The sequence below is a fragment of the Homo sapiens genome, chromosome 11 (assembly GCF_000001405.40).
Source record: "Homo sapiens chromosome 11, GRCh38.p14 Primary Assembly".
Taxonomy (NCBI): domain Eukaryota; kingdom Metazoa; phylum Chordata; class Mammalia; order Primates; family Hominidae; genus Homo; species Homo sapiens.
In genome coordinates this window covers 93,717,401-93,730,032 of record NC_000011.10, presented here as the reverse complement: position 1 = coordinate 93,730,032, position 12,632 = coordinate 93,717,401, and the positions used below count along the sequence as shown (strand labels likewise).

Genomic DNA, 12,632 nt, shown 5'->3' with positions numbered 1-12,632 from the left:
TAGAATTAGAGACAAACACTGCAAAAAGTGAATCACTAAAAAAAAAAAAAAAATTAACCCTACCTTAGACCCCTTTGGTGCCTTAGAGCCTGTGTAGTCTTTCTGTCTTCAGGAAAAGATGCTCTGACTTTATTCACGCCCTTTAGACGACTCACAGATGAACCTGAGGAAAGAAAAGTGAAATCAAGTTGTAAACACAAGGCTTTAAACATTTCAGGGAGTTGGTTGAAGATTTTAAAAATTCAACATACTTATAGATGGTTTCTCTTTAACTGTTTTGATTTGAGAATTTTCAGAGACATGAATTTTATTCCTTATTTCTTTCTGCCTCTGGTGGGATCTCTCCATAAATGATTTTTTCCTCTTTATAAATGCTTCTTGTAAGCTCCCTGGTACAGGTGTAAGCCTGCGAGGGGTTTCTGCTGGGGGAAAAGAAATTTATGACAGAAATAGGCAAAGTATCTACTTTCCATTAGAAGTGTGGAGGCCGTCCAAGGCTTACCTGTAGATGCTGTCCTTGGTTTTTCTATGGAAAGTTCTGATACAGCTGGATAATCTGAGGCTTCTGTTGCTGATACAAGAGGCAGAAACTCACTCACCTAATGGCAAGAAAGTTGCATGTTTTACTCTTTTTAAACGCTTTAAGCGGGTCTTGCTCTGCTGTCAGATTAGAGTGCAGCGGCATGATCACACCTCACTGCAGCCTCAATCTTAGCTGGGTCTACAGAGACCCGCCACCATGCCTGATTTTTGTATTTTTTGTAGGGATTGGGTTTTGCCTTGTTGCCCAGGCTGGTCTTGAACTGGGCTTAGGCTCCACTGCCCTCACACCTCTAGGCCTCTGTTTAGATAGCTTTATTCTTATTGCCTCCCTACTCCCCTAGTAAAATTACCAGTTGTTCTGAAGTCATTTTTCAATATCTGGGAATAAGTTTAGGTAAAACTTCCAACTTGGCACTATAACACTAGGTGTATAAGATTAGTTCTGCCAGTCTTGGAGACAGGCATAAATTGGAGTGGGGATTAAAAGAAAATGCACAATGGTTGACAGAATAGTGAAGGTTTAAGACAAATTGAGAGCTGGTGGGGGTGTCGGCTTAGTTAAATGCATAGCATAATTCCCTCCAATGAGTACCTTCTGATAAGTTGTAAGAGACAAATCAACTGGTTTGCTTGTAATAGAATAAAATAGAAGGAAAGCTTAAATTTACCTGAAAGAAGCATTTTGCTTCATTCTCGCTCTTCTCTTCTAGGGTTAAATTTGCAAAATCCATTTCAGCAATACTGGTATCAGTGGTGCTTATTAAAGTAAGTTCTGGTTCTTCCATTATACCATGGCCAGTTTCTGTTTCCTGTGAACCACAATTAAAAGGAAAACCATGTCAAAATAGCCTTAAAAGACTTAAACTAATCGTTTTGTATATAATGCACATTTTTTGCAAGTGTATATAAATGTGAAAATGGAGGAAGAAAAGCAATGATTGGCAAAGACCAACAGATCAGATTTCCTTAGGCTTCCATAACTCCAGCATTCAGTTGTAGAAATACTGGAGCCTACTTTGGGGAGGGGATGAAATAGTGTGACAATGGACTGAAAGGTATCTACCACAATGATTACAAACCTAAATGCTTGTAGTGTTGGGCAAAAAATATAAATGCAGGTTGGCTGTGCCGAATTGTATCCTTTAAAGGGAGCAGGGGTCGACTGGGCTGCTACCAAATGTGGGCCACTGACTGCTAACAGATAATGTTTCAAAAGTATCTAAACACAACAAGAACAAAAGCAGCCACATAAAACGTGGTTTAGTTGTAATTCTTATTTTCAATCTGTTATGTTTATTTGTGGAAGGATAAACTGCACATACTGCTAGATGAAAACCAGTCACCAGTTGACTGGTGTTGAAAGCAAGCAGATTATAAGTTGCTTAATATGAGGAGCAGGTTTCCAATACTTATTCCAATAATGGATGAATTCATTGCACTGGAATGAGGCTCAACACTGAAAGTGCTGAAGCACAGGCAGAACCACCATTTTTCAGGGAAGTTGGAGAAAGGATATCTGAATTGGGAGAAAAAGGATCTTTTGTAAAATACTCTCAGAAGACAGTTTTCAAATTTTTAAGTTTCTGCATTATGCTGGATATTTCTAGTGATCACAAGCTGGATAGCAATATTAACAAGCAGTTTTGCTTGTATTTTGTTTCAGGTTTTTCCTGCCAGGCATTGTGGTGTGTCCAAACTACTTCGGAAGTTGAGGCAGGAGGATCCCTTGATCCTAGGAGTTTGAGTTCAGCCTGGGTAGCATAGTGGGAACTTCATCTCTAATTTTAGAAGAAAAAAGTTTTTTCCCAAAAAGGAATTTAAATGTTATTTATACAACACTGATTTCACTTACCCAGACTGGTATAGAGCTCTGTAATGAAAATGATCCAGAACTTGCAAAAAGCTCTGATTCTCCTAGTTGAGATAGTTTTTTGGTGATTTTTGGAATGTCTGTTTCAGCTGAATTCTCAAAATATTTTTCATTTTGAGTAGTTAAGGAATATGGTGCCTGAATTGAAGTTCCCATCTCCACTGTTCTTACACATAATCGAGAGTCAGTTTCCTCTACCTGTGGATTTATGTCTAAAACCCTACAGGTTTCATTTTTATTATCTTCAATGAGTCCTTGACTTTGTAACATTGTAACAACCCCTCTTTTTGATAGTTCTTCAAAGCCCATACTTTCCTTTCTGCTTTCTAGTTGGTGTTTTGTTGAGCACTCACTAGAGTTAGAACCACATGGAGTGCTATGCTGTACATTTAACTGATCAAATACATTAGCTTCATCAGATGAACTGTAGACTGAACTTAAGTTTCCTATAGAAAGCTGGAAATGAACAATTTTTTTCTTGTTTTGTAATATTTCAGTATGTTCTTCAGAGGGATAGTTCTGATTTTTCATGCCTTGGGAAGAATCTCTTGCTTCAATGCTAAAAATACTTGGTAGATCAGCATGCTGGCTCTCCTCCTGTGAAGAATATTCTGGCTGAAGCTGTTCAAAACATTGTTCAGATCCTGCATTAAGAAATTCAAAAATCAGTTAATCATCGTTACATGTTGTAAAAGTTGGATACTGACAGTCTCTAATAGTTTATCATCCAATTGCAAGTAACCTACAATTTTAGGCATAAAAGTTGATGTGTATAAACATGAATACAAAGATAAGGATGGTCACAGTGATTTCTCAAACTACAGCTCACACCAAGTATTTTTTCTTTTTCTATTAATATTTAATAAGGACAATATGGCTATAAACTGAGGATGTTTTCCTCTATAAGAACTGAATATGACTTTAATAACAGAAAAGAGAATAAAGCATCCATGTGTATCTCAATTATCCATGTGTGTATATATAATTTGTACATCCTTGTGTATCTCATGTATGTTTGTGTGTATATATAATCATTTGTACCAAAGGCTCAAGAATACTTGTTTTCTATGTTGCCCAGGCTGGTCTTGAACTCCTGGGCTCCAGGGATCCTCCTGCCGCAGCTTCCCAAAGTGCTAGGATTACAGGCGTGAGCCACTATACTTGGCCTAAGAAGAATACTTAAACTGGCTGGGCATGGTGGCTCACACCTGTAATCCCAGCACTTTGGGAGGCCAAGACGAGTGGATCATCTGAGGTCGGGAGTTCTAGACCAGCCTGACCAACATAGTGAAACCCTGTCTATACTAAAAATAGAAAATTAGCTGGGTGTGGTGGCACATGCCTGTAATCCCAGCTACTTGGGAGGCTGAGTGAGGCAGGAGAATCACTTGAACCCAGCAGGCGGAGGTTGCAGTGAGCCAAGATTGCACCACTGCACTCCAGCCTGGGCAACAAGAGTGAAACTCAGTCTTCAAAAACAAAATAAAAACAAAAACAAAAACAAAAAAAACAAACAAAAAAATAATACTTAAACTGTTAACTATCACATAATGATTGAGGTAGGGAAATTGAGGAACAAGAGGCAACACTTTTCCTTTTATTTCATAATGTTCAGTATTGTTTAAAAAAATGCATGTATTACTTCTGTAATTTAAATATTTTTTAACACCCAGGATAGGGGTGAGAGCAGGGGTGAAGACAAACCAAGAGGTGCTAGGCTTAATTTCTAAGGAAATGGATGTAAAAAATCATGGAAAAATTAACTTTTTCTAACTTAGTCATACATACCCCCAATAATATTTTCTGTAGCAAAACTGTGAGCTCCAACATGAGCCAAGTTAGTGTCAGGTTGTTGATTCGGACTTGTGTTAAGAGAAGAATGCATGCTGGTCCTCCTCAGTGCTGTGAAATAAACTGTACTTTTGGATAATCCAGTAGCACAGTGGCTTTCAGATGAAGAATCTGATCTCTGGCAGGAAACAAAAGGGAAAGGCTGAAATACTGATTAGGTATTAACAATTGAAACAATAATCATTGTGTTCCTTTGGTATTACTCTTCCTTAATTATCACTTCACTATGACAGCAATGATTTGCTTTTTCAAATCCAGTTCTTTTCAATCAATATGAAAGAGACTTTAAAATGTCAGGCCATCAGGAAGTGGAAGCAAAAAGACTCAGGTTTAAATCTCAGCTCCTTTGACTGTGTAGGAGGATACTTTAAATTTTGCAAAATTGTATTTACTTTACTGTTTAAATATGTTCCACAACTAAAAGTTGTTATTAAGCCTTTTATGGCATCATACTCCCTAGGTGGAGACAGGTGGATGGGACAAACAAAATTCTAATGTAGCTGTTTTCCTTTTTTTTTTTTTGAGATGGGGTCTCACTATGTTGTCCAGGCTGGAGTGCAGTGGCACGATCTCGGCTCACTGCAACCTCTGCCTCCCAGGTTCAAGCGGTTCTCAGCCTCCCGAGTAGCTGGGACTACAGGCATGCCATCACACCCAACTAATTTTTGTGTTTTTTAGTAGAGATGGGATTTCACCATGTTGGCCAGGCTGATCTCAAACTCCTGGCCTCAAGCAATCCACCTGCCTCAGACTCCCAAAGTGCTGGGATTACAGGCATGAGCCACCGCACCCGGCCCAATGCAGCTGTTTTCAAAGTTGGTTCCACATTAGAATCACTTGGGGAGCTTAAAAAATAATAATAATAATTAGTACTATCTGAGCACTCCCAGAAACTCTGCTTTAATTGGTCTAGGGTGTAGTCTGGACAATAGGATTTATTTTTATTTTTTATTTAAGTTTTCCATGTGATTCTTTTTGTTTGTTTGTTTGTTTCTTTTTTTAAAGACAGGGTCTGGCTCTGTCACCCAGACTGGAGTGTAGTGGCACGATCTCAGCTCACTGCAGCCTCCACCTCCTGGGCTCAAGTGGTCCTCCCACCTCAGCCTCCCGAGTAGCTGGGACTACAGGTGCGCACCACGACACCTGGCTAATTTTTGTATTTTCAGTAGAGACAGGGTTTTGCCATGTTGGCCAGGCTGGTCTCGAACTCTTGGCCTCAAGTAATCTGCCCGCCTTGGGCTCTCAAAGTGCTGGGATTACAGGTGTGAGCCACTGTGCCCAGACTTCCATGTGATTCTAGGTAAGGGTTTAGAAGAACTTTTGTTCCAGTAGAAGAAATGGCTTAAAACTATTTTTAGATATTCACTGCAATGGGACATCTACTTTAATATACCTGGTAAAAGTCTCTGTTGTCTGGAGAAATCCCAGAGGATGATGATGATAAGTCAAAATCTGGATGTGGTTCTAAGGGTTTAAACAGCTGATGATGCAAATTAGGAAAAATGTGTTCCAATTCTGGAAAGTCAAGGTCAACTGTTAGAATTTTTGAGGGAAAAAAATCATAAATTTATTTTTAAGGTAAACACTAGAAAAGGAGTATTAAGAACATATTCATAAACGCTTATTTTCAGGTAACTCCAGTGTAACAAAAACTTCAGTTTTTCCCCCATGATCAGCAGATGCTTTAAAGTTAAGTCCTATCATGATTATTTCAAAGGTCCAAAATATGGATCCTCTCAGTGACCAAAACTTTTTAAGTTTTATTTTTAGAGAAATTTAATTTTTTTAAATTTAAAAAATTTTTTTTTAAAATAGAGATGGGGTCTCAGTGTTGCCCAGGCTGGTCTTGAAATCCTGGGCTCAAGCAATCCTCCTGCCTCAGCCTCCCAAAGTGCTACGATTACAGGTATGAACAAACTTTTGACAAATACGAATTTCCATTTCCACAGCCTTATGAGGCTAATGAGGATCAACAGGACATATGTAACCACTGCTTCAGTATAAGCTTAAAAAAGGAAAAAGGCTCACTGTATTCAGTGTTACTATGGGCCAGACATTGTGCTTTATGTGCACTATCTCATTTAATCTATAATATTCCTCTTTTATAAAAGATTAAAAAGTAACTTGCCCATGGTTTTACAGCTAGGAAATGGTCAGGCTATGACTCAAATCCAGAACTGTATGATTTCTGAGCTCCTGCTCTTATTTATCAGTAATACCGCCTCAGCCGTAATAGCTAACTCTGCAATGGCAAAGGAAGATTTGCTAATTAATCTCCTATAAATGTGCCTCAGTGAGTCTAATTGGTTCCAGATCCCCTTTCTCACTAAATGCCCTCAATATATTCTGTGGTAAAACGGTGTTGTAGCAGGCCATAAGAACATGAAGCTCAAACAATCACTGCATAAAATTTAAAATGATGAAAGGTGAAAATTTAAAACTTAATTTACATAAAAGTATTGCTTTAAAATAATTTTACCTTGCAAATCTGTTTTTTCAGGTATCAAATTTGCTTCATTAATGTACTTGTCTATCATTTGCTGAAAGTGTGTGTGACCACATGTAGTTTCATCCACTGCAGGCAACAGAGATTTATGAACGTCTGAAGAGTTCTGCCGCTGATAAATATCTTGTGTTGAAGGAACTATGGAACTTATAATATTTGTTTCCTCTTCTTTACTGGTGGTAGATTCTTGCTTGCTATCATCCATGTGCTCTGAAAATGACTCTGAAAATTGAGTTTAATGAAAATATGTAAATAGGCCAGGCGTGATGGCTCACGCCTGTAATACCAGCACTTTGGGAGGCCGAGGTGGGTGGATCACGAGGTCAAGAGATGGAGACCATCTCGCCAACATGGTGAAACCCCATCTCTACTAAAAATACAAAAATCAGCTGGGCGTGGTGGCGCACACCTGTAGTCCCAGCTACTCGGGAGAGCCGAGATTGCACCATTGCACTCCAGCCTGGCAACAGAGCAAGACTCCATCTCAAAAGAAAAAAAAATGTAATTGACAGCGACACTATATTCCTTTTAATGGAATATTCCTTACAGACATACTGTACTGGGTACTTCCTTACAGACATATTTTAGTGGAGAAGCATGGTAATACATATTGTTAAGAGATCAGTGCAACCATGAAATTTGCTCGGATAGGTTTCCACTGAATGGAAAAATATATCAGCAACTGCTTCTCAAAAGTATTGTTGGGGATCTACAGAGCATCCCTGTTACTTCCAGTAATATTTAGAATACCATATGCGCCAATGTTTTGCTGGGTGTGAATATTTTACTTTTTTTTTTTTTGAGACAGGGTTTCACTATGTTGCTCAGGCTGGAGTGCAGTGGCGTGATTGTGGCTCATTGCAGCCTTGACCTCCCAGGCTCAAGCGATCCCCTCACCTCAGCCTCCTGAGTAGCTGGGACTACAGGCACTTACCACCACACCTGGCTAACTTTTGTATTTTTTTGTAGAGATAGGGTTCTACCACGTTGCCCAGGATGGTCTCAAACTTTTGGGCTCAAGCGATCCTCCCACCTCAAGGTGCTGGGATTACAGGCGTGAGGCACCACGCCTGGCCATACTTTACTTGTGAGATTTAGAGAAATAGTTCCCCATGGTGTATCATGAAAACCCAATGCTTCCTTCCATCACTGTATTGCAACTCAACTGGTGCCGGTCTTTCAACTTATTTATAAACATTTTGACCTTATTACCTGGATCTGTAAGGCTCAAATCTGTGTTTTCATAACTTAAAAGGCTCCCAGTGGAAACAGTTGCTGAAGATAATGGTTCATAAGACAGTGTTTTAGCCTAGAAATTAAGGGGAATATCATACCACAATGTAGCAAGTAGTATGTAAGAAAACCCCAAATCACCAACCCCAGCAGTTGTCACTTCTGAGCTCAGGTCAAGTGTAGAAACCATCATAGTTACAAAGATCAGTAGTAAAACCTTTTCATCATTGCCCAGAAATGATTAGGCTTTCATAGACATACATACGCACCCCCCCACCCTCAATCTCATTCATTCCTACAGCTGTTATCTTTATAAACACATGTGCGTACACACACACACACACACACACACACACACACACACCAGACATATGCCCTTATTGTTTTACATTGTTTTATAGTTTTGCTTCTCAGAACTGTAGAGATCATGCATCAGGTAGACTGGAAAGACTTCTGATGCTCAGATTTGGCTAGTTTCATCATTGATCCACTTCACTAAAAGCAGATCTCAGAAAGCACTGACTTTAATGTTATAACATAGCTTCTGTAAACTAAACAAAAGAGAATACGAAGCCAAACAGCTCTAAAAATCGAGTGAACATTAAGACATTACTAACCTTATCATCTGGCTTCACAGTTGGACCCAAATATGCATGTTCTTCCTCCACAGCATAACTTAACACTGCATGATTTTCAACAACAGATTCCTTCAGCTTAACTGAAAAATGGATTTTGGAGTTCAAGATGGGAGAAAAATATAGTTGGGATAAGACAAATCAAATTCTTAGCACCACAGGACACCATTCCCTGCTTTCCTACAATCTACTTTCTCATTTTGCTTCTTAAAGTTGTCTTGTCTTAGATCAAAGAAAAAATTCACCGTATTTGTTAAAAACATTCACTAGTCAGCACAATATACTTTTTCCTGGAAAACTGTAGCTATTGTTATTTTATGAATAAAATGCTTTAAGAAATTTGAATATTAGGTCTAAAACCTAGAAAAGAACCAGTGTGATGAGAAATGCTTTTGCCACTGTTTTAAGTGGAAAAGCAAGAATATTAAATCATAAACACAGTGTGGTCCTAAAGATGCGAAAACATGCATATAAAAGAGACAATAAAGAAAACACCAGGGCCAGGTGCGGTGGCTTACACCTGTAATCATAGCACTTTGGGAGGCTGAGGCAGGTGGATCGCTTGAGTGCAGGAGTTCGAGACCAGCCTAGGCAACACAGTGAAACCTCATCTCTACAAAAATTACAAACATTAGCCTGGGGCAGTGGCAGGCACCTGTAGTCGCAGCTACTCAGGAGACTGAGGTGGGAGGGTGGCTTGCTTGAGCCTGGGAGGCGGAGGTTGTAATGAACCGAGAATGTGCCACCACACTCCAGCCTCTGCAACAGAGCCAGACCCCGTCTCAAAAAACCACACCAAAATGTAACCAGTGGTTGTTTATTAATGGTAGCACAAGGAGTAATTTTTACTTGTACTGTACCTTTTAGTGCCTTCTATTATTTTATTTCATTTTTTTAGAGACAGTTTTTTTTTTTTTTTTTGAGGCAGACTCTCGCTCTGTCACCCAGGCTGGAATGCAGTGGCGCAATCTCGACTCACTGCAACCTCCACCTCCCAGGTTCAGGCAATTCTCCCTGCCTCAGCCTCCTGAGTAGCTGGGATTACAGGCACACACCACCATGCCTGGCTAATTTTTCTATTTTTAGTAGAGACGGAGTTTCACCATGTTGGCCAGGCTGGTCTCGAACTCGTGACCTCAGGTGATCCGCCCACCTCGGCCTCCCAAAGTGCTGGGATTACAGGTGTGAGCCACCACGCCTGGCGAGACAGAGTCTTGTTATGTTTCCCAGACTGGTCTTGAACTGCTAGCCTGAAGTGATCCTCCTGCCTTAGCCTCCTGAGTAGCTGGGATTATAGGCATGAGCCACTACGCCCAGCTTTTTTTTTTTTTTACAGCTTTCTAAATTCATAATGAGCATATATTACTTTTATGATGAATTATCATTCCTAATTATATTTGAGATATTAAAACATTAAAATTATACTTTGTGTCTCATATTAACAATCATGTATTCTGAGCTTATTTTCCTTCTTATTCCAAGTGACCAACTGACACTTGTGAGAAAGCTCACCAAGACATATTGTAGTCTATGGCTCTGAAAAATACAATTAAAACTGCTTCACTGAATATAAACAAAATTCTGCTTCATAATCTCAGTGATATTAGAAGGTATGCACATTAAAGGTATATTTCTTAAATGTTTATGTAACAATTATTAATTATTCATTTTATTTTTTTTTAAGACTAGTCAAGTGCAGTAGTGAGAACAGGGAAAAGAATAGAACAAAGAGTCCGATCTGTAACTGACTGTAAATAATCAATTGAGATAACTCATTACATTCGGACCAGGAGAATTATTTTTCAAATGTAGACCTAGTAAACAAGCAGGTAGGCATGGTGGCTCACCCCTCTAGTCCCAGCAACTCAGGAAGTTGAGGTGGGAGGATTGCTTAAGGCCAGTAGTTTCAGACCAGTCTGTGCAACCTAGCAAGACCTCATCTCTACAAAAAAATAAAAAATTAGCTGGGCATAGTGGCATGCTCCTGTAGTCCTAGCTACCTCGGAGGCTGAGGCAGTCGGATGGTTTGAGCCCAGGATTTTGGATTGTGAATGAGCTATAATGGCACCACTGCACTCTAGCCTGGGCAACAGTGTGAACAACTGTGCCTTGAAACAAAACAAAAAAAAACAGGAAAAAAAAAAAAAACCCGGAAAAAAAAAACAACCCACACACACACGTACACATCTATCTGTATGTAAGTACAGATATTTATTCATAAAATAATATATATTATGATTAATGAAGTGGAAACAAAGCTAATCGCAAATCTTTGTCTTTATTTTTTTTGAGACGGAGTCTCACTGTCACCCAGGCTGGAGTGCAGAGGCACGATCTTGGCTCACTGCAAACTCCACCTCCCGGGTTCAAGAGATTCTTCTGCCTCTGCCTCCTGAGTAGCTGGGACTACAGGTGCGCACCACCAAGCCCGGCTAATTTTTGTATTTTAGTAGAGACGGGGTTTCACCATATTGGCCAGGCTGGTCTCGAATTCCTGACCTTATGATCCGCCCACCTGGGCCTCCCTAAGTGCTGGGATTACAGGCGTGAGCCACCGTGCCTGGCTGACATTTGTCTTTAAATACAATATATTTTTTGGATGACAGGGTCTTGCTCTGTCACCCAGGTTGGCTGGTGAAATTTTATAGTGAGTTTTAATTTTTTCTTCTATTCTTAAGCAGTTCATTTTAAAAGCTAATTGGGAAATGAGAAGTTAATCTGGGATGTTCAATTCACTAATAATAATTACAATTATTTACTGTTATCTGTAATATACCTAGAAGACTCCCTCAGTGGAGGTATGAATAAATAAGGCAGCATTTGCGTGGTAGTAAGAAGTGAAAAATAAAAGTGAGAGAAAGGAGCAAGATCAGAGTCACTGAAGATGTTCAAAGATTCAGTGGATAGGTCCCTGAAAGCTGGAAGAGAAATAACTGTCGTCATTTGGGATGTGGTTCACTGATAACAGTTCCTAAAAAGGGGAAGTGACATAATGAAAGTAACACCTTACTGCTATCTTTTCATGCCATGCAGGAAGGCACCATTTCCTGTTTTCCTACAAGGGCAGACAGTACAAAGTTTGCAGTTAGTGGCTCCATCTTAAAAATCTGTTAAATCAAGATGTGGGGCAGAAACAATGGAATAGTAGTAACAAGACAGACCTTTCTAAAATAGAAACAATCTGGACCAGGCGTGGTGGCTCACGCCTATAATCCCAACACTTTGGGAGGCCAAGGTGAGAGGACTGCTCAAGCCTAGGGGTTCAAGACCAGTCTGGACAACACAGTGAGACCCTGTCTCTACAAAAATTAAAAAATTAACCGGGTGGGGTGGTGCATGCCTGTAGTCCTAGCTACTCGGGAGGCTGAGGTGGGAGGATCAATTGAGCCTAGGAGGTCAAGGCAGCAATGAGCTGTGGTTGTGCCACTGCACTCTAGCCTAGGTGATAGAGCAAGACCCTGTCTCAAAACAGAATAAAAGAAATTTGAAACAATCTGAATCTGGGAATGATTCTGAGAAAGAGAAAAGCCGTCCCTGGTATCCAGGAGCTGACCTGGCACTATCAGGTAATGCCCTGGTGTTCTGTTAAACATCAACAATTCCATGGAATGCCAGTCTCAGAAATGGCCACTCTGTGACCCTGATAAAGAAAAAAAAAATGAGACCCCTTGTAACCACATCTGAACACAGACAAAACCATGAATATTGTCTAAACCACAAGAATGGCCAAGCATTCCCTTATCCTGGCTAATAGGAGTGACTGCTGCTGTTTTACCAGTTACAACTTTAGCTTCACTTCCATTCTTACCACCTCCTAGATAAGAACTTTTCAGGTACTGAAACAGAATTACTCCTGCTTCCTGACAACATCCAATACTAATTACCAAAAAGCTCTGTTTCCTTGAATCCTTCTCCCAATCCCCTAAAACAAGCCCAAATCCTATAAGTCCTTCCTAAATAGCCATTTACTGAGATGCCTCGTGGTTGCCCATGG

The 12,632-nt window shown here is 39.9% G+C and overlaps 1 protein-coding gene and 1 non-coding gene across 22 annotated transcripts in view; both read right to left on the bottom strand.

Annotated features, from left to right (window-relative positions):
• The window catches only part of CEP295 (centrosomal protein 295), a 68,677-nt gene that overhangs the window by 326 nt on the left and 55,719 nt on the right, over nt 1–12,632 (bottom strand). For 11 of the 21 annotated variants that reach the window (XM_011543047.2, XM_005274366.2, XM_011543049.2 and 8 more), the window contains 10 exons: nt 8,621–8,721; nt 7,983–8,079; nt 6,744–6,992; nt 5,658–5,779; nt 4,202–4,382; nt 2,396–3,057; nt 1,212–1,352; nt 503–599; nt 252–422; nt 64–163 (listed from right to left, as the gene is read on the bottom strand). In XM_011543047.2, the coding sequence (XP_011541349.1) occupies nt 64–163; nt 252–422; nt 503–599; nt 1,212–1,352; nt 2,396–3,057; nt 4,202–4,382; nt 5,658–5,779; nt 6,744–6,992; nt 7,983–8,079; nt 8,621–8,721 (1,921 nt within the window). Of the gene's footprint in view, nt 1–63; nt 164–251; nt 423–502; nt 600–1,211; nt 1,353–2,395; nt 3,058–4,201; nt 4,383–5,657; nt 5,780–6,743; nt 6,993–7,982; nt 8,080–8,620; nt 8,722–12,632 lie in introns of those variants that run through there. The other 10 variants (XM_017018470.2, XM_005274367.3, XM_017018471.2 and 7 more) reach the window with 2 other exon arrangements.
• On the bottom strand, nt 8,167–8,519 carry SCARNA9 (small Cajal body-specific RNA 9). Its single transcript, NR_002569.2, has one exon.